This window comes from Homo sapiens, chromosome 10 (assembly GCF_000001405.40).
Source record: "Homo sapiens chromosome 10, GRCh38.p14 Primary Assembly".
Classification (NCBI taxonomy): Eukaryota; Metazoa; Chordata; class Mammalia; order Primates; family Hominidae; genus Homo; species Homo sapiens.
Window position 1 is genome coordinate 132,498,770 of NC_000010.11, and position 26,335 is coordinate 132,525,104.

The window sequence follows — 26,335 nt, forward strand, 5'->3', positions numbered from 1 at the left end:
ATACATGCACACACATGTGCACATGCACACACACACCAGGGCCAGGTCAGGACAGAGGTCCTGGAGCCTAAGCTCTAGGAGGCATGAGAGCGTGAAGAAGAGGGTACGGGCGGCCATGCCAGCTGTGATGTACAGCATTCTTCCTGCCACACGGACGGCTGCGTCGGGCTGAGCGTCTTCTCCTGTGCTCCTCATGGTCTTGCTCCATCGCAGTGTTCCCCAAAGTTTTATTTGTTTTTTTAAGAGACACTGCCTTGCTCTGTCTCCCAGGCTGGAGTGCAATGGTGCAATCACCGCTCACTGCAGCCTCCAACTCTCCTGCTCAAGCGATCCTCCCATCTCAGCCTGCCAAAGTGCTGAAATTCCAGGTGTAAGCCTCTGCACCCAGCCCCAATGTCTTCTTAAAAAAAGGCCTGCAAACTGTATGGTGTCTTCAGTCCCTTGGCAATGTAGCTTTAGCTTGGAAAGTGCCAGGCACTGACAGCTGCGTTCCAGGACATTTCCTTGGCATCTCTGCCTGAGCGACAGGAGGCTGGCGGGGGTAGAGCTCTCAGTGTGGTGGGACAAGACCAGCATCTTCCACCTGGACACAGGGGCCCAGGTGGGATGTCCGCTCCCTCAGAGGCCTTACTTGCCCCCGAATTCTCTGCAATTGCTCAGATGGTCTAATCCAAGTCTAGAGGGGGTCACTGTCCTGGCAGGAAGCAGGTGGCCCACCCTCAGCAGGTGGTGTGAGCAGGCGAGGGTGGGGCTCCGCGGGACCACAGGAGGCGATAGCCTCTTGAGGGCAGAGGCCGTGTCCCTCACAGCACCTTCCTTGTGGGTGGCACAGTGGAAGGTGCTGGGCTGAGGGACGTTAGCCCAGCTTCATCCTGTGTGTTTACGCTCCCTCCGGGTAGCTTTGCTGTGTGCTTGGGGCTTCTGGCATGGCAGAGTTCATTCAGCTTCCAGCGCATTGATCTCCAACACAGACCTACTGACTCCTGGGGACGTTCCCACTGATCTCAGGAAAGGTGAGAGAATGCTTCTTTTAAGCAACTTGAAGACAGGCAGGATGTAATTCTATTCAGTGTTAAAGCCTATCATTCTATCATCAAACAGCTCCCAGACGCCAGGAGTCCAGAATGAGATGCATCTACTGTGACCCAGTTTCCTCCTTCAAAGCTGCCAGGGTTGATCCTGGATCCATCCTGGGCTGATCCTAGGTCCCTCCTGGATTGATACTAGGTCCACTGTGGCCTGAGCCTGGGTCCATTGAGGGCTGATCTTGGGTTTACTGTGGCCTGTGATTGGGTCTATCATGGGCTGAGCCTGGATCCAACCTAAGCTGGCCCTGGATCCATCATGGGCTGAGCCTGGTTCCAACCTTAGCTGAGCCTGGATCCTACCTGAGCTGAGCTTGGGTTTATCATGGGCTGAACCTGGTTCCATCATGGGTTGGTCCTGTGTCCATTGTAATTTGGGCCTGGATCCTCCTGGATTACTTATATGGTTCGGCTGCATCCCCACTCAAATCTCATCTTGAATTGGAGTTTCCATAATCCCCACATGTCATGGGAAGGACCCAGTGGGAGGTAATAGAATCATGGGTGTGGTTACCCTCATGCTGCTGTTCTCATGATAGTGAGTGAGATCTCACAAGATCTGATGGTTTTATAAGGGGCTTTTCCCCCTTCTGCTTGGCACTTCTCCTTGCTGCTGCCGTGAGAAGGAGGTGTTTGCTTCCCCTTCCGCCATGATTGTAAGTTTCCTGAGGCCTCCCCAGCCAATTAAACCTCTTTCCTTTATAAATTACCCAGTCTTGCATATGTCTTTACTAACAGTGTGAGAACGGGCTAACACAATAACAAATCTGTAGAAAAATGTGAATCAAAACTCCAAGGAGATACCACGTTACAACCATGAGGATGGTTACTATTTTTAAAAAACAGAAAATAACAATTGTTGGTGAGGTTATGGTTACATTGGATCCCTCATGCACTATTGGTAAGAATGTGAAATGGGGCAGCCACTGTGGAAAACAGTATGATGATTCCTCAAAAAATTAGAAATAGAATCACCCTAGGACCCAGCAAGTCTGCGTCTGGGTATATGCACAGAAGAATCAGAAGCAGGGTCTCAAGCAATATTTGCTCACTATGTTCACAGCAGTATTAGTCACGATGGCCAAGGGGCAGCAGCAACACGGGCGTCTGTCACAGATGAATGGAAAACAGAATGTGGAATACCCACAGAATGGATTTTAACTCAGTCTTAAAAAGGAAGGAAAACCTGGCATGTGCTACAACACGGATGGGTCTTTAAGACACTGTGGGAAAGGAGAGAAGCCAGATACAGAAGGGCAAGTACTGCCTGACTCTGTGTACCTGAGGCTCCCAGAGGAGCCAAACTCACTGAGACAGAAAGCAGAACGGAGGCTCCCTGAGGCTGGGGAGATGGGAATGGGGAGTGGGTGTTTCATGGGGACCGAGTTTCCGTTTCCCACAATGAAAACGGATCTGGAGACGGGTGGTGATGACGGCGTCACAACATCCTGAACACGCTAACACCATGGAACTGTACATGCGAACATGGGTAAGATGCTGAATTGCTTGCTGTATGTGTCTTACCACAATAAAAGCTTTGAAAAAAACCCACAAAAGTACAGTTTATCAAAACAAGAACTGCAAATCCTGTTTCTTGGGGATATAGTTCAGGGATAGAGCATTTGACTGCAAACCATTTCTTTCTTAAGGGTTAATCTTAGCTTATACACCACATATTCTATCTTTTTTCATGATATTCTATTTTTAAACCTAACTAATTTCAACACTTTTGATTAGTATTTGGTCCCATTTGTAAACTTATCTAAGCTTCTTTAAACCTTTTAAGCTGAAATTGTGAAACTGTAAAACTTCACTTCTTTTTAAAGGACTCTATTTGCCTAAAAACAGACTTTCCCAAATACTTGCAATGCTAGTTAACCTTACACATGTGCTGATCTTTACATGTTCAAAGTGTAAGTGTCCAAAGCTATATATCAATTTGGAAAGGTATCTACTGATAAAGTCAAAATCAATTACCCAATTACCCTGTTTAAGTTGGAATCCCAGGTGACTTGTTTCTTTTTTGTTTTGTTTTATTGTTTGTTTGTTTTTTGAGATGGAGTCTCGCTCTGCCGCCCAGGCTGGAGTGCAGTGGCGTGATCTCGGCTCACTGCAAGCTCCGCCTCCCGGGTTCACGCCATTCTCCTGCCTCAGCCTCCCGAGTTGCTGGGACTACAGGCACCTGCCATCACTCCCGGCTATTTTTTTTTATATTTAGTGGAGACAGGGTTTCACCGTGTTAGCCAGGATGGTCTCGATCTCCTGACCTCGTGATCTGCTGGCCTCGGCCTCCCACCAGGTGACCTGTTTTTTAGCAAAAATCTCAGAAGCATTGCATAGTGTTAAAATACCAAACATGCATAAATCTGTCACAAAATATTCATACTTTGGGTTTGGTTCTCTGCACACATTTTCATACTTAGTAACACATCTTCTCAAGGTGAGTGTATTGACCCTGCCCACTGGGAAGGCAGTGGGCTTCCCAAAGCTTCCCGGACGCTGCTGGGACGCTGAGGTTCCCATCTGGGAGGTTGGGGGCAAGCACGAGAGCCAAAGGGCACAGAGTTGTCTTTTTCTTTGAGATGGAGTCTTGCTCTGTTACCTAGGCTGGAGGGCAGTGGCACCATCACAGCTCACTCCAGTTTTGACCTCCTGGGCTCACATGATCCTCCCACCTTAGCCTCCACAGGCACATATCACCACCAGCTGATATTTATATTTTTTATAGAGGTGGGGTCTCATTATGTTGTCCAGGCTGGTCTAACTCCTGTGCTCAAGGGATCCTCCAGCCTTGCTCTCCCTCCTCTGAGATTACAGACACGAGCTGCTCTGCCCAGCCCCGGGGTTTCTTTGGAGGAAGATGAAAATGTCCGGAATTGAGCATGTCCATGCATGCACCAACAACGGCTGAACTGCCCACCTCAGAGGGATTCCGTGAATGCACCAATGACCGCTGAATTGAGCATGTCCGTGAATGCACCAACGACAGCTGAACTGAGCATGTCCGTGAATGCACAAACGACCGCTGAACTGAGCGTGTCCGTGAATGCACCGACCACTGAACTGAGCGTGTCCGTGAATGCACCAACAACCACTGAACTGCCCACCTCAGAGGGATTCCGTGAATGCACCAACGACCGCTGAACTGCACACTTCAGAGGGATGTGGGGCTGGCGTGTGAACTCTACCTCAGTAAAGCTGTGTCAAGAGAAAAGGTAACAACTCAACGAGAGTTTCCTCAGAGGATGTTTCTAGGCCAACCCAGGCCAGGAACTGGATTCCACCCCAAAGGGTCACTGTGCACGAGGGCGTCCGGGGAGCCGCTGACCTGCAGGGTCCTCGCCAGCCTTCCTGGCTCCACTGCGCCGCACCCTTAGGAGCGCTCTCATGTACCCTGATCTCCTCTGCGTGCCCCGCCAGGCTCGCCACACCCCAGTTTTCATTTCGACGTGCAGTTGGGCTGCACGTCGTGTGTCGGGCATAAGCAGTCTTGGAAATTTTCCACGATATTTAGGCCAAGACAAGTCAATGGCAAAGGAAATCTTTATTTAGATTTATCTATTGTAATGATGCCTCGGGCAGGTCGATTATTAAGGACCTGCTCAGAGACTGTTTTTCTGAGTCTCTCAATCGGAGCGAGCTTATCGTTCGGGGTCACCTCAAATGAGCCTGGAATCGGCGAGTTAATCCTCAATTGTTAAAGAGAAAGTAGCAGCATCCATAAGGATCCTGAGGCTTCCAGTTTCTTTGCCTGCAAGGTTGCTTGCCCCATTCTCCTCCATCTCGGGAGCAGCTTCCAAGGGCGGCCTCTCCAGCAGCAGCGCATGGGATACCCAGGGCTGCTTGTCCGCAGGCCCCCTGGCAGGACTCCCAGGTGGAGGAAGGGGTGGGCACAGAGAGCCTCCCCTGCCAGGGTACCAAGGCCTGGGACTCCTGTCTCAAAGGCTCCTGCAGAATTCCCCGCCAACCCCCAAGAGGATCCTTTCTATGGCTGAGGGAACCAGCCCTGCCAGCCCTCAGCCTCCATGACGAGCCCAGACCACCACTTGGAAGGGCTCTGCCCAGGCAGGGGTATCAGGAGCAGAATGCACCACCTGTCCACCACACCCCCAGGCCAGGCTGAGCCAAGCACAGGGAGCTGCTTAGGCCAAAGGGCACCACCGCCCAGGTGCCAGCAGGAAACGTGTGGGTCTCAGGTGGCGGCCCTGACTGTTGGCCCCATTCAGTAAGAGCGGCACAAGGCCTGGAGGACAGCTGCTCCCACCAATGGACATATCTGGGGAGACGTGCTGCCCAGGACCCTGGGGCTGGCCTGTATCCCGTGTCCAGTCAGTGCAGGACACAGAGGCTTGAGTCTGGCCGAGACTTAGGCTACCCTGATTGCCAAAGCAGCCAGCTCCTTCTGGGGTCAGCTGAGGTCTCTGGACCCACACAGCCCCCTGCCTAGACCCTCCCTTCTCTCAGGGTGGCATGCTGAGGCCTCCCCAGGAATAGTCCTGCTGGCACCAGATGTCAGGCACCAGACCGAGTCCTGCCTCCCACGGCCTCCCAGACAGGGTCATCCCACTCCTGCTGATGATGGCAGAGGGAGCGCAGGGTCTGTGCCCTTCTGCAGAACCTCTCAGCCTTCGGACTGCAGGAACTCATGCTTCATAGAAATTCTCAGAATATCAAACAAACAGACCAAAAAATGGCCTGATTTTTCCAAGACTTGGCCTCCCAAATGCCACGGTTAACCACTGCACTCAGGCTGACGGGCGTGGGGGTGGAACAGAGGGGTGTAGAGGGATGGCAGGCGCACCCCGAGAGCCCTCCAGGGACGTTCCTGCCCTACACACCCTGCTGTTTCCTTCTACCCAGCAGGGTGGGCCCCACCCTGAGGTCCTTTCAGCTCCCTGGGAAGTGTATGCTTTGGGGTAGGGATTCTAGGCTGGGAGGGAGAACCGAGGACAGGACAGAGGAGGGGCTGCAGTGAACAGGAGCCCCAGATGTGCACAGCCGCTGGAATGGCCAGACCCCGGGCCAGGTGGAGGGCAATTCTCAGCTGTGAGCTCACACCTGGGGAGCTGGGCCCCTTGGAAGACCCAAGGCCTGGTGCCCCCACAGACCAAGGAGGGCTGTCTGGGACAGGGGTGCAGTGGGAGAAGGAGCCCCTCCTAGGGCTGAATTCTGGGATCTTTTCAAGCACTATCTGAAGGAGGCCTGGCCTGTGGTTTTCTGATCACCCCAATGTCCCAAGAAGGGCGGAAGGCCCAGGCTGCTGGTGCAGGGAGGGGCTGCATTCAGAGGTCCCCAGTGCCGACCACAGCCCTGGAAAACAGCAAGTCCTGAAGAAGGTGCGAAGGTGCTGGGCCTCCAAGGCAGCGGGCGCCTTTGTTTCCTCCATTCCTGTACAGAGCTCAGCTCCAGTGATAGGGACGGTCACTCTGGGATCAGCTCCAGTGATAGGGACGGTCACTCTGGGATCAGCGCCAGTGATAGGGACGGTCACTCTGGGATCAGCGCCAGTGATAGGGACGGTCACTCTGGGATCAGCGCCAGTGATAGGGACGGTCACTCTGGGATCGGCTCCAGTGATAGGGACGGTCACTCTGGGATCGGCTCCAGTGATAGGGACGGTCACTCTGGGATCGGCTCCAGTGATAGGAGTGGTCACTCTGGGATCAGCGCCAGTGATAGGGACGGTCACTCTGGGATCAGCGCCAGTGATAGGGACGGTCACTCTGGGATCAGCTCCAGTGATAGGGACGGTCACTCTGGGATCAGCGCCAGTGATAGGGACGGTCACTCTGGGATCAGCGCCAGTGATAGGGACGGTCACTCTGGGATCAGCGCCAGTGATAGGGACGGTCACTCTGGGATCAGCGCCAGTGATAGGAGTGGTCACTCTGGGATCAGCGCCAGTGATAGGGACGGTCACTCTGGGATCAGCTCCAGTGATAGGGACGGTCACTCTGGGATCGGCGCCAGTGATAGGGACGGTCACTCTGGGATCGGCTCCAGTGATAGGGACGGTCACTCTGGGATCGGCTCCAGTGATAGGGACGGTCACTCTGGGATCGGCGCCAGTGATAGGGACGGTCACTCTGGGATCGGCTCCAGTGATAGGGACGGTCACTCTGGGATCGGCTCCAGTGATAGGGACGGTCACTCTGGGATCGGCTCCAGTGATAGGGACGGTCACTCTGGGATCGGCGCCAGTGATAGGGACGGTCACTCTGGGATCGGCTCCAGTGATAGGGACGGTCACTCTGGGATCGGCTCCAGTGATAGGGACGGTCACTCTGGGATCGGCGCCAGTGATAGGGACGGTCACTCTGGGATCGGCTCCAGTGATAGGGACGGTCACTCTGGGATCGGCTCCAGTGATAGGGACGGTCACTCTGGGATCGGCGCCAGTGATAGGGACGGTCACTCTGGGATCGGCGCCAGTGATAGGGACGGTCACTCTGGGATCGGCGCCAGTGATAGGGACGGTCACTCTGGGATCGGCGCCAGTGATAGGGACGGTCACTCTGGGATCGGCGCCAGTGATAGGGACGGTCACTCTGGGATCGGCGCCAGTGATAGGGACGGTCACTCTGGGATCGGCGCCAGTGATAGGGACGGTCACTCTGGGATCGGCGCCAGTGATAGGGACGGTCACTCTGGGATCGGCGCCAGTGATAGGGACGGTCACTCTGGGATCGGCGCCAGTGATAGGGACGGTCACTCTGGGATCGGCTCCAGTGATAGGGACGGTCACTCTGGGATCGGCGCCAGTGATAGGGACGGTCACTCTGGGATCGGCTCCAGTGATAGGGACGGTCACTCTGGGATTGGCTCCAGTGATAGGAGTGGTCACTCTGGGACCTCCAGGCTCTGCACCTGGCAGGGGCTTGAGTCAGTGCTTTGGGCTCTGCTCTCTGTGGTCACTAGAGCTGCTGGTCCTTCCTGACCAGACACAGATGCAGGTTTCAAGTCTCTCATCTCCAAGTCCAGTCAGGACGTGAACAACAGAGGGAACAGTCCCTCCATGGATCAAGTGAGCGCGTCCAAGGGCAGGATGTTCTGGTTGTAATTAGGTGGCTCACATTTCAATTTGGCAGGGATATTAAAAGGCATCCCGGAGGAGGCCATTGGAATGCTGAGCAGGGAATGAAGGCTCTGAGGAAACCCTTAGAAAGAGGGCATTTAATGAGCCGCGGCCGCCAAGGGGCCCATGGTGCCCCGAGGTTTGGGCTGCCTTTGGCTTCAGTTTCTTCTTGTCAGGCCAGGGACTCTGAGAGGCGCAGAGGTCCTTCTCTGTGCATGATGGTGGCTGCTGAAGGTCACCTTGGCTAACACAGGCCCAGAAATGGCAACAAAAGGGGCAGCAAGCCTGTGACCCAAAGAGAGGGCCCAGGCAGTGTGGGACCCCCCGTCCAGCAAGGATGGAGGAAGCCTTCTAGTCACACCACCTGGTCATGCACCTGCCTGGGGTCATACCCCACCACCATGCACATCTCCCCCACCATGAACCTGCCTGGGGCCACACCACCCACCATGCATCTGCCTGGGGCCACATGCACCCGACCATGCAGCTACCCAGGGCCACACCTGCCTGCAGGGCACATTCCCTTCCCCCAAAACACCTGCCTGGGGAAATGTTCACTCTCAGAAGAAACTCATGGTCCACACATCATGGATGATGGCAGCTCCTCCCACCTGCTGACCCACCTGTACCCTTCAGGCTCGGAACTCTTCCCAAGCCAGCCTTCCCAGGACCCCTTGAAACTGAAGGTGCTGGTGCTGCCCGGGCTGTACCTGGCTGGAGCTATGAACTTTAGTCCACTCAGCACACCTGACTCACCACGGACCAAACTGAGATTTGAAGGAGGGAAGGAAGCTTTGGGAGACCCTGGAGGCCACGGTGAGGGAGAGGTGGGGGCAAAGGCTGCCTGGAGCCAGGGATGGGGCAAGGGGCCTCAGCTTGGCCTCTTACCACCCGTGACTTCAGCTGGTCTTTGGAGCCGTGGTTTCCTTATCGAATGGGAACACAGTGAAGTGTCAATGAGCAGGCACAGGTGAGTGCCCTTTGTAAACCGTCTGGAGCCACAGCAGGGTCACGGAGGACGAATCCTTGAGGAGATGTGAACGTCCTGATGTCCAGGCCATGCCCGGTCCCTCCAGGGTGGAACTCAGGCATCCACGATCCTTTGGAGCACATGTGATGCATGGAGCAGCCCAAGGCCTGCTGTGCAGGCCAATACGAGGGTGCATGCCTGCGGCCACAGCAGAACTCCGGGGCCTGAGCTCTGAAGCAGGAGGCAGCTCACCAGTCGGCTAGCTGAGCCTGGCTTCAGGCAGACGGGTGCACCTCTTATGACAGTGGGCAGGCCACTTCACAGATGACCCACGGCTCAGGCCTGGCTAGCGTTAGATTCTCTGCTGCAGGGTTACTGGCCCAGGGCACTGGGGACCAGCCAGGTGTACCTGCCAGGAATTGTCACTGGCAGAGGTCAGCCCAGCTCCTTGCCTGCCCAGCCTGGGCATTTTCCAAGGAGAGACAGACCCTGGGCCTCTGTGGTCAGCCCCAACCAGGGACCCAGCTCTCCACCAGCCAGGTCCTGAGTCTGAGTTTACAGTTTACTATTCAAACTAAGGAGAAAATCCTCCAAAGTACACAGAAGAATCCATCATATCCCAATCAACACCCATATGAACATGAAGCAAGGCCCTGCTGCTGCTCCTAAATGGGGGACAGTGACATTTGGACAGACAGCGTCCTCCCAGCAGAGGGATGTGCTCAGGTTCTGGAAGGAACAATGGAAAAAAAGTCATTTTTTCCATAGAAGTGTCATGTGTAAGACAAAAACGTTCTGGAAAGCACTTTGCATTTGTTTCCCCAAGCCTGTAGAAATGAGGTGACCGCACAGGGCAGGAAAAGTGGGTGGAGAACACTCTGGGTCATCCGGGAGGTTCCTAGAGGAGGCGAAATGCATTTCCCAGAAAGACGACAAGCCGGTACTGCTGTTCCTCACAGGGACCCACTGGGAGGCAGGCTCTGCCTTCTCCATGGCAAGTCCAGGGCCGGCCACGTCAGCTGGTGAGGTCCTGCAGGGAAACAGCAGTGCCACCCTGAGTGCCACCCGGAATAAAGCTGGGCCCGGGGAAGGAGGCTCCTGAGGTCGGAGAGCACAGCTGACTCCAGGGCTGCTGAGCAGGTGCGCCTTGCCCCACAGGCTCCACACCCTCCAGATCAACCAGGGATTCAGCCAACAGCCCCCACCACATCGAGCTCTTCTCCCTCCTGGAGCCCCCCAGAAGTCCCAGAGCCTGACCTGCCTCACCCTTAAAGGGCAGCCAACCTGAGGTGTGCAGAGTGCAGGAGGGGACCGTTCTGGTCCTCACACACCCAGCAAGCAAGCAAGCATGCAGCTCCCGCTGTGAAAAGGCCACTCTTGGGCGTGGGGTCCCTGCTCTTGGGAACCTACATTCTAGTGGGAAGGATCGAAGGTACGTGGGTGAGCAAACATACAAACAGGATCATCCACCAAGTGCAGATGTTTTGATAGCAACAAAACAGGGGATGTGATGGGAGTCTCACTGGATTGACCTGCAAATTCTTTCCCAAGGGGGCACTGAGGGGCAAGACGCCAGCTGCGTGTGATCCAGGGAAAAGGGCCAAAGACAGAGGGAGCTGCTGGTGCCAGTGCCCAGGGGCTGGGTCAAGTGGGCAGTTTCTTGGTGCAGAAAGGAGGCCTGGGTGTTGCCGGGGAGAAGGAGAGAGGCCCAGGAGCGGCCCCCACCAAGTCTGGGCCGGCAAGTGGGCCGGGGCCCGCTGTGTTCAGATGTGGTGGTCACCGTATCACCAGGCGTCGTGGCAGAGATGGGGGTGCCGTGCACTTTTCCATCCAGGAATGAAGCCCTGTCACCCTCTGGAAGGAGAGCATCAAACAAGAAGCCAGCGGGGCAGGGGAGGGTCAGCCCGCCCACACAGGGCCCTCCTGAGCTTGGGGCTGAGCCATGCTGAGCTGAGGTCAGTGCTGAAGGGTCCCTCAGCCTTCGGAAGTGGGGCATTGAGGATTTTTCTGCTGCTCCAAATCCTCACCAGAGCTGAATCTGGGCTGGAGGTTGGGATTTCCCAGGGAATGACAACCTGTGACAGCCACAGGACCTTGCCTCCCTGGGTACAGCCCCACCTATGCACTCTCAGTTCCTGGGAGGCCAGGATGGGCCCAGCCGGCTCCTGCTCTCAGGGGAAGACCTCACACCTGTCTCCGGACTCTGCAAGCCCTAACCTGTGGCCCTGTCATGGTTCCCACCCCACCCCCTGCCTCCTGCCAAGCCCATCTTTCTCCTGTAGCCCTGCCCTGGGCCCCTCCCCAGATCTGTGTGTTATCCCCACCTTCATCCTGCACGGAGCCTGTGCCTAGCTCCGCAGCTACCAGGATCCTCCTGCCACCCACCTGGGGCCCCCAAACCCTCGAGCCAGGCCAGGGCCGGGAGCGGCCGTCATCCAAACCCTTCTGAGTGTGGCTGCCTGGGGCCTGGTCCCGTGCCTGGCTCTGAGGGACATTTATTTGCAGGTGCACAGACCCGGTCGCAGAGCAGACCTGGGACCGCCCTGTGATGCCCAGAGTGAGGGCTGAGCACAAGGCAGGCCAGGCCTGGCAAAGAGCCCCTGAGCCCGGGGGTGATGTGACGCCGCCGGCCCTGAGCCCTCTGCGGCAAAGCTCCAGAGGGTTGGGGCTGAAGTGGGTGAATGCTGCCACCCTGCTCCTGGGGTGGCCTCCCCACAGGGCCCTGCCGGCTCCTCCAAGCCCCTCCCAGTGGCCGCTCTGACCCAGACCACGTCCTTAAAAATGACCTCAGTACTGATCATGGACCTAAATGTGGAGCCTAATTCTATAAAACTTCTAGACTAAAACACAGAAGAAAACTTTGTGATTCTGAGTTAACAAACATTTCTTAGGACAGAAAAGGCAGTTACTATAAAAAAGTTGATAAATTGGATGTCATAAAAATTAAATTTTTTTGTCTTCCAAAGACATCATTAAATCGATGAAAAGACAAGCCACAGACTGTGAGAAAATAATTGCAATGCCTATAAATGACAAAGGACTTTCCCTGCAATACATAAAAAACACTTACAACTCAATAAGAAAGCAAATCAACTAGTTTCATAAATGGACAAAACGTTGAACACACAAACTATAAGAAACGATGTACAAATGGCTAAGCACACAAAAGGATACTGTATTCTGTCATCCTTGCACTGCTATGAAGAAATACCTGAGACTGGCTAATTTATAAAGAAAAGAGGTTTAATTGGCTCACGGTTCTGCAGTCTGTGCGGGAAGGCATAGTGGCTTCTGCTTCTGGGGAGGCCCCAGGAAACTTACAATCATGGCGGAAGGTGAAGGGGGAGCCGGCACGTCACATGGCCAGAGGAGGAGGAAGAGAGATGGATGGGAGGCGCTACACACTTTTAAACAACAAGATCTCACGAGAACTAACTCACTATTGTGACAACAGTAGCCAAGGGGGAAATCCACCCCCACGATCCTGTCACCTCCACCAGGTCCCACCTCCAACACTGGGGATCACAACTGAACATGAGATTTGGGCCAGGACAAGGATCCAGACCATACCAGTTGCTGACGTCCTTAGTCATCGGGGAAACGGGGAATGAGGAAGATGAGAATGTAAAGCGGTACAGAAAGCGAAACATACACTTACCGTGAGACCCAGGAAGCCCACGTGGAGACATTTATCCAGGACAAAAGAAAGCACATATCCACAAAGACTTGAATATGCATGTTTATAGCAGTTTTGTTCATAAGAGTCCCAAGCTGGAAATAACTCAAATGTCTAACAACAGATGAACAAATAAACTGGAAAAGGCATACGATGGAACCCTTCTCAGCAATTCAACAAGAGAAACAATCACTGCAGGTATACACAGCTGCATGGATGAATCTCAAGAACATTACACGGAGCGAGGAAGCCAGACAGAGGGCTACGTACTGCAGGATTCCAGAGATATGAAATCCCAGGACGGGAAAAACTCGCCCAAGTGACAGAAAGCAGATCGGCGGTTGCCTAACTCCATGCTCTCATTTCTGGTTGTTTTCCAGTTGGTTCTCTTAAGGTTTTCAGGAAGACATTCACATCATCAGCTAATAACAATTACTTTTCCTCTTTTCCAATGGCTGTATTTTTTCTTTTTCATGTTTTTTTGCACTGGCTGGAAATTTTAGGACAATATGAGATGACAGTGGTGAGAGTGTGTAGGTTTGTCGTGACTGTGGCCTTTGGCTGCTGCCTATATTCATCTAGACTCCTACAAAAGACAGGAAAAACAACCAAATTAGCTTCAAGGGCATTTACTTATTTACACACAGCTGTGAGATTCAGGTGTGGCTGGATCAAGCATCCCAGCCTAGGTTCTAAGTGTGTATATGTGCTTCCCCTCTCTGTCACAAGATGGCTGCAATAGCTCTAGACTGTATGTCCCCTTGGGTATGAATCCAAGGGAATAATGTGTGTATTTTTTCCAGAATTTCCAGAAAAAGTCTAATTATGCTTCACTGGTCTCCTGGGACCTCTTGCCCACCTGTGGCCAGGAAAACAATGTGCTGATTGTCACCCCGGGTCACTTGCCCATTCCTAGGGTGGACAGGTGAGGGAAGAGATGCAGAGCTGGGTAGGTGCCACCAATGACCAGGTCCACCCGAGCCCTCCTCTCATCCCCAACGACCCAGCTCCACCTGAGCCCTCCTCTCATTTCCAACAACCCAGGTCCACCCGAGCCCTCCTCTCATCCCCAACGACCCAGCTCCACCTGAGCCCTCCTCTCATCCCCAACAACCCAGATCCACCTGACCCCTCCTCTCATCCCCAATGACCCAGGTCCACTGAGCCCTCCTGTCATTCCCAACCCAGGTCCACTGAGCCCTCCTCTTATCCCCAATGACCCAGGTCCACCCAAGCCCTCCTCTCATCCCCCACCCTCTATAAGGGTGGCCTCCCACATATGCGTTTCGGCTCCCTGGTCCATCTTTCAGACCCTGCTGGCAGACTAGAATCTGAGCTCAGGGACACAGAGACCAGGAGCTGAGCTTACCAACAGCAGGACTCCATGGGGGAAGCTCATGGCTCCCACAGACAAATGGCTCCTTTCACTCTTCTCTTGGACATGTGAGATGCCCAGCCAGCCTTCTGGTAAATTCCCTCTCTCGCTCCAGCTACTGTGACTTGGTTTCCCTGACTTGGCACCACGTGAACCTGCATATCAATGGGCTGCCTCCAGCCTGGCGTTCAGCTTTTGCTGTGGTCACCATTGTCCTAGCAAATGCTCTTTTTCTTCCTCCATATTCTATTCTGTTTAAGAATATTAAGAATAGGCCGGGCGTGGTGGCTCACACCTGTAATCTCAGCACTTTGGGAGGCCAAGGCAGGCAGATCATGAGGTCAAGAGATCGAGAACATCCTGGGCAACATGGTGAAACGCTGCCTCTACTAAAAATACAAAAATTAGCTGGGCATGGTGGCGAATGCCTGTAGTCCCAGCTACTCAGGAGGCTGAGGCAGGAGAATCACTTGAACCCGGGAGGCAGAGGTTGCAGTGAGCCAAGATTGCACCACTGCACTCCAGCCTGGTGACAGAGTGAGACTCTGTCTCATAAAAAAAAATAAAAAAATTAAGAGTAGATTTGGAATTTTTCAAATCCCTCTTTGTAACTCATTGAGATAAGATTTTTTTCTTTCACCTTTGACTATTGTAGAGCTTATTAATTTCCTGAAATTAAACTATCTTTGCATTCTTGGGATAAACCATATTTGGACATCATATTCTTTTCCTATTTTCTTGGATTTGATTTGCCAGGATTCCATTTATAATTTTTGCTTCTGAGTGGTCAATAATTTTCCTTTTGAATGAGTTTGGTGTCTCAATCAAGGTTATGCTGGCCTCATAAAATGAATTAGAAAGGAGTTTCTTATCAGAAAAGTTTACATAGCTTGAGAATTGCTTGTTCTTTAAATGTATGAAAGGTCAATCCATGAAACCTGTATTTAGAGGTAATTCCTAGACAGCATTTTTCAAACACCTTCCATTGTTATTGGCCTGTTTAGTTTTTCTCATGCTTCTTGAGGAGATTTTGTTAATTTATATTTTTATAAAATTATTTTGTTGAGATTTTCATATTTTAATTGCCTGGGTGTTATAATTATAATTTTGCTTATTTATATTTTCTTTAATTTTCTGGATTCTATTTGCCATGCATTTTAAAATTTATTGCTGTTTTTCCATCAGAATGAAGAATGACGGTGTTTCAGTTTCTTACCTAGGACTATATATGAGCTCCCTGGTGTGGATGTCAGGAAGGGCTTATGAGGGGTGTGTGTGTGTTATGTGTGTGGTTTGTGTATGCATGTATGTATGGGTGTGTGTGTGGTATGTATGTGTGTATGTGTGGTATGTATGTGTGTATATGTGTGGTTTGCATGTGGCATGATGTGTGTGGTGTGTATGCATGTATATATAGGGGTATATGTGTGTGATATGTGTGGTGTGTGTGTGGTCTGTGTGAATGTGCGTTGTGTGCATGTGTGGTGGGTGTGTGCACGTATGTATAGGAGTATGTGTGTGTGACATGTGTGGTGTATATGACTGTGTATGGTATGTGCGTGGTGTGTGGTGTGTGTGTGGTGTGTATATGTATGGATGTGTGCTGTGTGTGCATGTGTGTGGTGTGCGTATGTGAGTGTGTGTGGTGTGTGGTGAGTGTGTCTGTGGCATGTATATGTATGAATGTGTCCTGTATGGATGTGTGGTGTGTGTGCATGTGTGTGTGTGGTGTGTGTATGCACATATGTATTGGTGTGTGGGGTTGTGTGTGGTGTATGTGTGGTATATGTGTGGTGTGTGTATGTGTGGTATGTGTGTGGTGTGTGTGCTGTGTGTGTGTGTATGTGGTGCATGTGTGTAAGATGATCAGCTCTGCATTTGACAAAAACAGGACACGTATATGGGTTTCCTTCCTCTGGGGCCCACCTGGGGCTGGTGCACCCTCCGGAAGCCCTGGCTGGATGGAGCCCCTGGGGGAGCCAGTTCCCAGGGACTCCCCATCCATGTCTGGCTCAGCTCTTCTGTCCTCCAAGCCCTCTGTCTGCTCCTACTCAAAAACGCCGCAGAGCCCTGTGTTCACGGCTCCCAGGCTCTCCCTCTGGCCTGGCCCGAGGCCTCTCCTGGAGACGCTTTCAGGCAGGGGGTCTGTGTGGCCCCACGAGGAGGTCCCCGGCCACTATCCCTGCCTGGATTCGGAAGGGGTGGAACCACAAGAGGCACCTGGGGAAATGGCAGAGCTGCCCCCAAAGCAGCCCTGACTGGAGCTCTGATGAACACAGGCCTCGGCTTCCTGCATGGGAGGCAACGAGCGGGGTGGGCCCAAGGCCGTCTGTGTTTCTGGCCTCAGCCTCTGTGGCGGAGGCACAGCAGAGGGGCCGCCAAGCATGTTTTCCACCAAATTCCGCCAGTCTTGCAGCTGCCTGCAAGTCCTGCCAGAGTCTCACGGTGGACCTGGGGCTCGGACTCCACAGGTGTTATGGGTTTGTGCTTTTCCCGTCTCCAGGGGCACCTCAGTGGGCAGTTTAAAGAGGAAGTCTGCAACCGGGGCAGCCAGCCTGATCTTTAAAACAGAAACCTTTCTCTAACAGATTTTGAAGTTAATGAAAAACAACATAATGCTTTCATTCTAGAAAATATGAATCGCTTTTTATAGATCTTTTTATTTTCCTTTGTTTCATTAAAGCCAGACTTAGGAGTCAAAAAGAAAAAAAAAAGATGTGGGATCTACAAGGTACAATTTCCTATTATCATCCATCTTCCCAGGAAGCAATTTTCTTGTCTACATATAAAAGTACCCTAACGCTTGAAGCAGAGAAAACCAACCAGGGACGGCTCCCATGCTGGGAGTCCAGGGCTCGCACAGCAACGGCCACCTTCCCGAATGACCTCGTTCTGGGAAATAAACGGGAATATGTTCCACAGCCGGATGGCACCCAGGAGCTATGGGCAGTCAGGACAATGTGTCCCACAGCTGGAAGGCACCTGGGAGCTCTGGCAGAGCTGGGAGGCTGGGGAGGCCGGGGACCCTGGCTGCCACCTCTTGCCTGCATGGTTCTCCTGCTTGCAAAGGGGACAGTGCCCAAAGCCACTTGAGCCACTGGGAAAGTGGTGAGGGAGAACTGGGGTGTTGGGTGTCTCATTTCACTCTGCTGCACCCCCAGCTCCAGCCAGGGTGGTCGGCTCTCTCTCCATCTACTACAAAGCCTCCTTGACTCTGGAGGGGCCCCCCAGTGCCCATGCCTCTGCAGAAACAAGTGTCCCAGCTCCAGCAGAGCCACCGCCCTCTGCCTTCCACCCTCTGTCCTCTGTCCTCTGCCCTCTGCCCTCTGTCCTCTGCCCTCTGCCCTATGGCTGGCCCTGGCTGTGAAGTGGTCTCCCTCTTCCCCTTTCTACCCGGGGCATGAGGACTGCCAGTCTCACAGGAGGCATTGTGGATCTGGGCTGGAGAGCCTGTGCAGGGCTCCGGCTGTGGTGGGAAGGTGCCTGGCCATGAGACGCATCACTCAGTGCTTCCTTGTGACCAGAAGACGTTGAGGAAGCAACGGTTTGCTCCCAAGGGACTGGCTACCCCACATACGCACGTGTATATATACATGCACAGTTCATGTTCACAATGCACACATGTGTGCTGTGCACAAGCAAACATACGCATATAAGATACAGTGCACACACATGTGCACATCCACACAATATGTGCTCATACATGCATGTACACACATGCACACCATGTACGTCAGCATGCATCTGCAAGTACACAGTGCACAACGCGTGCACACACACACACACACACACACACACAGCTCTCTCCTGATCCTGCTACCCTCCCCTCACCTCAAAGGCAGGATCAGGGGCCTCCCTACCCATGTGATTCAGTGACACATGGCTGGGGCAGGGACCCGCCCCCTTGGCTCCCAGGTACACAGGCACCCAAGTCACCTGCTCCAGAAACCGTCCCAGAGACAAGTTCCCCCGGACCGCTGCACCCGACAAATGGCTGCTGGGGCGAGACCAGCCCGGGGACTTGCCGCGTGGCACCTTGGGGCGCTCAGTAGCAGGGCAAGACGCAGGCACTAGTCTGGCCAGGGCCACAGTGGGGCGGGGGGCGCAGGTGGCCCCAAGCTGGTTGGAAAGAGGGCTCTCAGGTGCCAGGGCACGCCTAGGGGTGAGATCCAAGCCAGCCCCTCAGGCCTCAACAAGGCGGCTCCTCCGGGAGGTGAAGGTCGGGCCACATTCCTGCGGAAGCTGGAATTCTGACATCAGATTTTCCAAGCTAGCTTTGGGGGAGGAGCCGGCAGGGAGCCAGGAGGGAGCCGAGGCCAGCGGGGGGTGGGGCGGGGTGGCTGAGGCTGTTCCAGGTTCCACAGGCCTGAGGTCCTGCTGGCCTCCCCCTGGGCCTGGGCTGCCCACTGGCCGCCTGGAGCATCCCACGCAGAGGGTGACTTTCTCATCCCAGCACTGGCCTGGCTGAGTCACATGGGGGCTGGGCCAGGGGACTCTAAAAATAGCCTGCGCTGGCGCTCGCTGGACCAGCCGGGAAGTTATTATTAGGCTGCGGCAGGGCCTCCTCCTGGGGTGGCCTCTCCTCTCAGAGCCCGGAAGAGGGAGGGGCTCGGTCAAGGCTGTGGGGCTGCCAGGTCACCAGGCCCTGGACACTCAAGCCGGGTCCCTCCGGTGGGGGCAGGGCAGGGGCTGCGCCCTCAGCCTGACTCCCACCCACACGCCCCTTCTTCCTGCGCTTCCCAGGGATGACCAGGCACTGTACGGGGGCAGCTCCTGGTTTTTCTGCCCCGCGAGGACCTGCTGTTCCATCAGGAGGGTGACTTTCTTCCCCTGCCCACCCTGGGGAGTCTCCCACGTCTGTGGGGCCTTTTCTGGATTCACTCTCTGTACCCACTGCTCACGCAGGGCCCAGTGCAAAACAAAACTGCGAGGCCACCCTTCAACAATGACTAAGTATTCGGGGCAAGTATGGGGCCTTGGGGGCAGCCACTCTGGGCCCTAGCTGCACCCCCATAAAGCCAGCCTTGCACCCTGTCCCCAGAAACCACTGACGTGGGGCCTGCAGGGGTGTGAGATACATCAGGGTGCAGCCGTCCCCAGGACACCTGAGCCGAGACCCTGTCTCCATGGAAACAATAGCTACCAGGCCAGCAGCTCCCAGCTCACCGCTGCCGCTCATGTCCAGGCCGTGGTCCTTGGAGTGGTCACTGCTGCGAGGGAAGGAGCCCCCAACAGCTCCCGTGAACCTGACCCTGGAGAGGGAGGCTGTGCTCTAAACCCCTCTCCTGAGTCTTCAGTGAACCCTTGTGCCCCTGGACAGGCACTGTTCTGGGGACGTGCTGGCCCCGCCCTCCCCTGGGCCGGCCCTGCTCAGCCAGGAGGACCACCCTAGTGAAGGCCACTCCCCATCCCCATCTGAGGAGGGTGCACTTTTGCAACAGAGAAAGCCCCAGGCTCAACCCAGTCAGCGCTGCCTCCAGCCCGTGGGACCCAGAACACAGCTCCAGTCCTTCCACTGCAGAGACCCTGGGGGCAGGGCCCGGCCCCAAACGCAGAGACTCAGAGTTCGTGTGGATGGTTGACCCTGAAAGTAGCTTCATGTATTGTCTGATTATAAAAATGATACCCCTTGTAAAAAATACAAACTACAAAAAAGTAAAAGCAGGTTGTGTCCCCCCAAGACCTTTCCCTAGCGGTTCCTACAGCCGCTATGGAGGCCAGCGCAGGAAAAGGCGGGGGTGCGGGCGTGAGGCCAAGTGCACCTGTGATTTGGTCCGGGCACAGCTTGGCGTGTCTCTGTGCTCCTCCCTCTGGAGAAGCCCCGCCTACATTGAAGGGCACGTGGGCCGGTGCCGTAACTTGCTCCACCCAGACCTGCCGATGGACATTTATATCACGTCTGCTTTTTTGGCCGCTGAAACAAGCAGCCGAGGTGCCTTTGGGCCTGTATCTTTGCCCACCTTCTGATTGTTTTCTGGACAAATCCCCGAGGAAGACACCAGGTCACAGAGCACACTTGTTTAACATTGTGAAACCTACAAGGATCGGTGGAGATTTTATCCCTAAGGGACTCAGGGCCTCTGCGGGGTGAAGGTCGGAGGCACGAGCCACACTTCCCAGACCGCTGGCCAGCTCACTCCCCAGCAGCCGCTAACCCTGTCTAACCCCTGCTGGGCTCCTCTTTCCTTTCCTGTAATCCCAGCTACTCCTCCAGGTGGTGAGAGCACCTGAGCTGTGGGGCCGGCACCAGGAGGCTGTGTTGCTGTTGTCAGGCACGGGGCTGTTTCCCCATGGAGGAGACGCAGCCTCTCTGGACAGCCGCCTCCCCCTCTGGTGTCCGGACACAGTGTTGTCATGCCCAGACTTTGCCTCCTGGTCTGTCTGCTCCGGGGAGGGTGCTGGGAAGAGCACTGCCATGTTCATTACCAAATGTTCAGCGGGGACCCCAGATGCTGCCTGGTCCCCGTGTCCATGAGCAAAGCTCCCCCGGGGAAGCCCCAGAGACAACACTGTGGCCTCGTGCTAACTCCCAGGAGGGAGGTCAGGTCAGAGGGCAGGAGGCCCCGTGGATGCTTCTATGTTTTGACCTCAAACCCCCTCCCACGGCCTCAAAGGTGAGCCTGCCCCGAGGGCTGGACTCTGGGATCGCTCCAAACAGCAGGATCAGCTCTCCGTGCTGAGGAGGTGTTCACGCCTCGTGCAAGAGAACACGGCCTCTGGGTCCAGACAGCACATGAGCCGGGGCATCCCGGGAACCTTCTGGAAAGAGAGTGAGGTCTGTAGTAACCTGGGTTCCGGCCCATGATCAGCCTGGGGTGGCTCCGGTTCCAGTTCCTCAGGAAGCCTGGAGGGAAACAGCAACTCCCTCTGCAGCTCTGTCCCCAGATTTCCCTGTGCTGGGCGGGGCACAGCTGCGATTGCTTCGACTTCCCAAACACTAACAAGGATATCCCCTGGAACGGGTCTGCCAGGGACACCATCATGGATGGTGAACACCCAGGGGACGCCAGCCCCGGGGCCAGGAGGCAGTGTTGTCCGTGGGCGCCCCCAGGAAACGCAGCCCCAAGCCCAAGTGCTGCTGCCTCTGGGCCCCCAGGCGGGCGCCGCTGAGGTGATCCCTGGGACCCTCTCCAGCCCAGGATGGGGGTGAAGGCCCCGGAGCTGGCTCAGCCCACAGGCAACAGCAAGGCAGCCATGTACGCCTGGATCCCATGGAGTCATCACCCCCCACTGCAGCCCCTGGGGGCCTCCTGGGCAGGCACCTTGGGAACCTTGGGAGTAGGGAGCCAAGGAAGGCCAGAGGGGTCCCCATGAGTCTCCTGGGGCCCCATCAAGGACTTTGGCCTCAGCTAGAGGGAGGGATGGGGACAGCAGGCAGGAAGAATGGGCACACAGGCCAGACGCACACAGGCTCTGAGAGGGTTAAGGCAGGGCCCATGTTAAAACCATCCTCTCCCCTCAGAGCCCAGCATATGATGGGGCCCAGGGGGTGAACCCGGGCTGGACACACCGACCTCAGCCTTGGCCCATCTCCCCAACCACGATGAATTACTGACACTCGGCCCTTACATACAGCCGGGGCCTCGCAGTGCCAGGCTGGGCTGCGGAGGCCTGGATGCCCCACTCATCCAAGCAGCTGATTCCGGCTGCTCAGGACCTGCTGGCAATGCTGTCTGTTCCATCGCTCCAGGAAATGGAAATGTTCCTAAAACTTTCATGTCACAGCTGCTTTTACTTTGTAAGTTCATGCTTAAAATAGCGCCAGCGGCCTCTGTTTCACCTTTTCCGAGGTTGGAAGCGGTTTGCTCTCAGCTCCATGAGAAGACAGCGGGGGAAACGCGGCAAGGAGCAAAGCTTGGCCAGAAAGCATCTCTTCTTTTTATGTAACGCTGGTCTGTGAAGCTTATATTTTAAAAGTTAAGTAAATACTGGGTTTGTTCCATAAACTTATCTTCTCTTACATGGACTAGGAGGGTCGTGTGTGAGTAAAATGCAGCAAAAAGACACATGAAGCCCCTGGGAGATCGACTCTTCTCACGGCTCTTTCTGCCCCAGCAGCTGAAGTCAGTGGGGCTGTGTTCCACAAACACCACGGTGCCCTGGCCAGAAACGGGCTGCTCTCCTGACCTCCTGGGCCCCGTCCTCACTGCAGCCTCCGGGGGTCAAACTGACACTGTGCATCCCTTCACAGACAGGGAAACTGAGGCTTTCAGGTGCCGCCGTTCACCCACAGTCATGCCGCTAGCGAGGGCTGGGGCGGAGGGGCCAGGGCTGGAGGCTCCTCCCCACCCCCCCAGGCCAGAGCTGCATCCATTGCGGAAATGATGAGAAGTCGCCCTGGCCCGCTGAGAGGCAGCCAAGCCCCCAGACCTCCCTGAAAGGGGAGAGTGGAAGGTTTTCCCATGGACCTGCACAGGGCCAGGCTGTCCTGGGCACTCCCAAATCTCCTCAGCCTCCTCTGGAGCTCGCTTTCCTGAGCACAGTGTCCTGGGACTCTGCCTTCTCCGTCCACAGAGCACGAGTGGACAGGGCCGCATCTGGCTTTGGGGGTCCCGGAGAGCTCCCTGGTGCCCCACACCCTGGCTGCACCCTGATCCAGCCGGCCCCAGGAGTGGACTCGGCTCTGCAGGTACCAGTGGCGGTGCTGACGACAGCCCCTAACTGTGCTGGTCATAAGCAGCTGGACACCAAGGAGTCTCACCAGCCCATCTGGAGAGCAGTGCCTTCTGGGGACCCAGTTTAGAGCAGGACAGACCACACTCTGCCAGCTGGGGCAGCCACAGAGGCCACTTCCCCTCCACCCAACATGCGTGGTTTGGTGAAGGCCACAGCAGAGAAGGGTCACAACCTCTAGGAGTTGATTTGACCAACCATGTGGCCAAGGGCTCACTCTTCTCCCTCCTGAGTCCCTGCTGCCAAAGGAGGCCTCGGACCGGGAGCTCGTGAGCCCCCAATGAGTCTGTTGAGGGTGCATTGCTGGGAGCTCGTGAGCCCCCGTGGGTCTGTTGAGGGTGCATAGCTGGGAGCTCGTGAGCCCCCGTGGGTCTGTTGAGGGTTCATTGCTGGGAGCTCGTGAGCCCCCGTGGGTCTGTTGAGGGTGCATTGCTGGGAGCTCGTGACCTCCCGATGAGTCTGTTGAGGGTGCATTGCTGGGAGCTCGTGACCCCCCAGTGAGTCTGTTGAGGGTGCATTGCTGGGAGCTCGTGAGCCCCCGTGGGTCTGCTGAGGGTTCATTGCTGGGAGCTCGTGACCCCCCAGTGAGTCTGTTGAGGGTGCATTGCTGGGAGCTCGTGAGCCCCCGTGGGTCTGTTGAGGGTTCATTGCTGGGAGCTCGTGACCCCCCAGTGAGTCTGTTGAGGGTGCATTGCTGGGAGCTCGTGACCCCCCAGTGAGTCTGTTGAGGGTGCATTGCTGGGAGCTCGTGAGCCCCCGTGGGTCTGCTGAGGGTGCGTTGCTGGGAGCTCGTGAGCCCCCATGGGTCTGTTGAGGGTGCATTGCTGGAGCCTGAGGATGTGGAGAGGTGGCCCATGGACCAGGATGGGAGCGTTGCTGGGGAGTTCTGCTGAGAGGCAGAGGCACGCAGATTGACATTACAGCAACCAGGCTTGGCCCTGTTGGCTGGAAGGAGCCTCATTCCTGGAGGAGTCTGTCCTTGGACAGGGAGGACCCTTGAGCCTCTGCCCAGTCTGGAACAAGTACAGGGGGCTGGCTGGGGGCTGCCAGGAGTCGGTCTGGTGGGGCTGGCCAGCCCATATCCAGGCCTCAGCACGAGAGTCACCCACCTTGCACCCCTGGGCCAGCTCCGAGGCAGCACCCTGGCTCTGCTGGACTTCCTAGGAGGAGGGGCTGCAGGAACTGAATGTTCCTGAGCTGGCTCTCAGAGGCACCCATTAGCCCATCTCATGCAGGGCTAATGGGATTCTGCCCCACGAGAAGAAGTCACCTCCCAGCTGACCACTAGCCTCTGCTGAGCCTGGCTGGCCGAGGGCCACCCCAGGGGACTGCAGACCCCATGACTCCGGGGGAGAAGGGAGGCCTTTCCAGCCACAGTGCAGCCCTCCCATCCGCCCAGCACCTTCAGAGCAGCCTGCAGAGCCCAGGCGCCCAGGGGCCACCCTCATCCACTCAGATGTGGGGCGCTGAGCACACAGAATGTGGGGACCCTCCCTGCCCCTAAGAGGCTGCTAGCAGCTGAGAGGACCCCAGGTCTGGGAGGGGATGGGTGATGCCCACAGAGCTGATCTCCTGCTGGTCCCGCCACCCTGTCCCCTCTGCTGTGGTCCTGGAGGCTGAGCCCAGGCACACCGGCCTGCTGACTTCTAGCTGGGGTCAGCCCACCGGAGGGCCCTGATCATGGCTGGGTACTTCTTCCTGGCTGTCCCTGTCCTGGGCTGTCCTGACCCTCTCAGGCAGGTGGCCCTCCTCCACACCAGGCCATCCCTGGGCTCTGCTCGGCCACCTCACCCCTGGCCGTACTCCTGCCCCTTGCGGGCCCCTGGTGCTTTCGCCTGCACCGAGGGTGATGTCCCTTCAGCAAAGGCTCTTGAAGGACCTAGTGAAGCTCTTCTGGGCTGACAGACACACCCACTATGCCCCCAAATCGGCACAAGCATGGTGCATCCACCGAGCAGGTTTTCTCCCTCGACTCAGAAGCTTTTGCCCCCAGCCCCATTTCATGGGCCTAACTAACATCATAAGCAATTAACACTGCCTGTGGCCAAAACCCATCACATCCTTTCTCACTAGGTGGCTGCTGCCCACACCCCAGCTCCCACCTTCACTGATTTGGGTCAGAAAAGCAGTTGCCAGGTCACACCGTCACATGAACGAGTGGTTGAAGTCTTTGTCTCTGCTCCCAGCTTGTTAGGGTGTGGAGGATCTGAGGCTGAGATGAGGAAACAGGCCCTCCAGTGCACCAGCCTGGCGGCTGGGACCTCCCTGACAGAGCACCTCAGGGTGGGTGCCAGCTTGAAGGAGCTGCAAGGGAGCTGGAGACCTGCGGCTGCACCCACAGCAGACTGGCCCCGGGGGCCCAGGCCATACAGGCAGGGCTGGGCCAGGCCTCCATGATGAAGTCAGACCCTCTCGGTTCTCTCTGTCTTCTCTCCATGTGGGTCTGCAGTCCCTCTCTGTCCCTGTTCTGAGACTCCAGCTTTCTGGAGCACCGCTCACCTGTTCCCGTCTCTTTCTCTTGCTTCTCTGCTTACAGTCATCTTTCCTTCTGTAGACAGCTGCCTCCATGCCACAAGGGCCTCCAGCATGGAGAACTGTTGCCACAGGTCCCGGTCCCAGACGACTGAAGTCTGTCCTTCACAGCAGCTGGGGCAGTGGAGCCCAGGGGACCCCACGGGCACCCTGGATCACACACAGCCTAGGGACCAGTGCAGCCCCAGAGGAGCCAGCAAAGGTGGGGACAAGGTGCCGAGGAGAGGGATCCAGCAGACAGGCTGATTCTGGCTGGGCTCGAGGGGAAGCCAAGGGAAGAGGGGAGCCTGGTGTGCCTGGCATGAAGCTGAGCTGCCCGCTTCTGCGGGCAGCCCCTCCAGAAGGCAGTGGAAGGGGTGCTGTTCAGGACAGCAGCTCGTACAAAGCGGGGGACATCACAAACACTGCTGGGCACTCACGGCTGAGACTGTGGGAGGCACCCGGTGGACTCCTGGAATGGAGGACAGAAGAGATGAGGGCTGGGTCTGGTCTCTCCCCAGGGCCAGCGGGAGGACTGAGCCCTTGTCTGCACCAAGGAATCGCCTTCTCTCCTCTGGCCCAGGAGGACAGAGGCTCAGAAGCTTCTCTGGAGACCGTGCTCTGTGGGCGAGATGAGGAAACAGGTCCCAGCAGTCCGGCTGAGGAAACACTGAGGGTCGGCTGAGACCAGGACCTTCGACTTTGTCTACACTGGAGGTGCGTGTTTAGAAGTGGAGCAAACGGTATATTCCTACAAGTTTAGACTCTGAGCTCCAGGAAGACCACAGTCTACCCAAAGCCACCCCTGCTATTTGTTCCCCAAATCTGCCCAGGCCGAGATCGGAGCCTGCCTGGAGCTCTCTGGATGTGTCCCTCCCTTGCCCTTGTCAAGGTGCTGCTGGCCTTGGGTGTTCAGTGGAGAAAGGACACTGGAAGCCCCAGAGTCACCTACAGACCAAGGCTGGGAACA

General features: G+C 55.7%; 1 long non-coding RNA gene across 1 annotated transcript in view, besides 8 other annotated features; it reads right to left on the reverse strand.

Moving 5' to 3' along the window:
* Positions 272 to 773: an enhancer, noted in NCBI's record as "H3K4me1 hESC enhancer chr10:134312545-134313046 (GRCh37/hg19 assembly coordinates)". NCBI's record gives its function as "activates a minimal SCP1, AML or CMV promoter by ChIP-STARR-seq in naive H9 embryonic stem cells {active_cell/tissue: H9 hESC(naive)}" and the evidence as "EXISTENCE:reporter gene assay evidence [ECO:0000049][PMID:30033119]".
* Positions 774 to 1,273: an enhancer, noted in NCBI's record as "H3K4me1 hESC enhancer chr10:134313047-134313546 (GRCh37/hg19 assembly coordinates)". NCBI's record gives its function as "activates a minimal SCP1, AML or CMV promoter by ChIP-STARR-seq in naive H9 embryonic stem cells {active_cell/tissue: H9 hESC(naive)}" and the evidence as "EXISTENCE:reporter gene assay evidence [ECO:0000049][PMID:30033119]".
* Positions 6,120 to 6,819: an enhancer, noted in NCBI's record as "H3K27ac-H3K4me1 hESC enhancer chr10:134318393-134319092 (GRCh37/hg19 assembly coordinates)". NCBI's record gives its function as "activates a minimal SCP1, AML or CMV promoter by ChIP-STARR-seq in naive H9 embryonic stem cells {active_cell/tissue: H9 hESC(naive)}" and the evidence as "EXISTENCE:reporter gene assay evidence [ECO:0000049][PMID:30033119]".
* Positions 6,820 to 7,519: an enhancer, noted in NCBI's record as "H3K27ac hESC enhancer chr10:134319093-134319792 (GRCh37/hg19 assembly coordinates)". NCBI's record gives its function as "activates a minimal SCP1, AML or CMV promoter by ChIP-STARR-seq in naive H9 embryonic stem cells {active_cell/tissue: H9 hESC(naive)}" and the evidence as "EXISTENCE:reporter gene assay evidence [ECO:0000049][PMID:30033119]".
* LOC107984282 (uncharacterized) overlaps positions 9,675 to 26,335 on the reverse strand; it is a 28,480-nt gene continuing 11,819 nt past the window's right edge. Inside the window, exons 2-4 of the long non-coding RNA NR_158224.1 lie at positions 19,348 to 25,837; positions 12,789 to 13,392; positions 9,675 to 10,160 (exon numbers count right to left, since the gene is read on the reverse strand). This is a non-coding gene — a long non-coding RNA (uncharacterized LOC107984282). The remainder of the gene's footprint in view (positions 10,161 to 12,788; positions 13,393 to 19,347; positions 25,838 to 26,335) is intronic.
* Positions 17,393 to 17,900: an enhancer, noted in NCBI's record as "H3K27ac-H3K4me1 hESC enhancer chr10:134329666-134330173 (GRCh37/hg19 assembly coordinates)". NCBI's record gives its function as "activates a minimal SCP1, AML or CMV promoter by ChIP-STARR-seq in naive H9 embryonic stem cells {active_cell/tissue: H9 hESC(naive)}" and the evidence as "EXISTENCE:reporter gene assay evidence [ECO:0000049][PMID:30033119]".
* Positions 17,901 to 18,409: an enhancer, noted in NCBI's record as "H3K27ac-H3K4me1 hESC enhancer chr10:134330174-134330682 (GRCh37/hg19 assembly coordinates)". NCBI's record gives its function as "activates a minimal SCP1, AML or CMV promoter by ChIP-STARR-seq in naive H9 embryonic stem cells {active_cell/tissue: H9 hESC(naive)}" and the evidence as "EXISTENCE:reporter gene assay evidence [ECO:0000049][PMID:30033119]".
* Positions 18,410 to 18,917: an enhancer, noted in NCBI's record as "H3K27ac-H3K4me1 hESC enhancer chr10:134330683-134331190 (GRCh37/hg19 assembly coordinates)". NCBI's record gives its function as "activates a minimal SCP1, AML or CMV promoter by ChIP-STARR-seq in naive H9 embryonic stem cells {active_cell/tissue: H9 hESC(naive)}" and the evidence as "EXISTENCE:reporter gene assay evidence [ECO:0000049][PMID:30033119]".
* Positions 19,426 to 19,933: an enhancer, noted in NCBI's record as "H3K27ac-H3K4me1 hESC enhancer chr10:134331699-134332206 (GRCh37/hg19 assembly coordinates)". NCBI's record gives its function as "activates a minimal SCP1, AML or CMV promoter by ChIP-STARR-seq in naive H9 embryonic stem cells {active_cell/tissue: H9 hESC(naive)}" and the evidence as "EXISTENCE:reporter gene assay evidence [ECO:0000049][PMID:30033119]".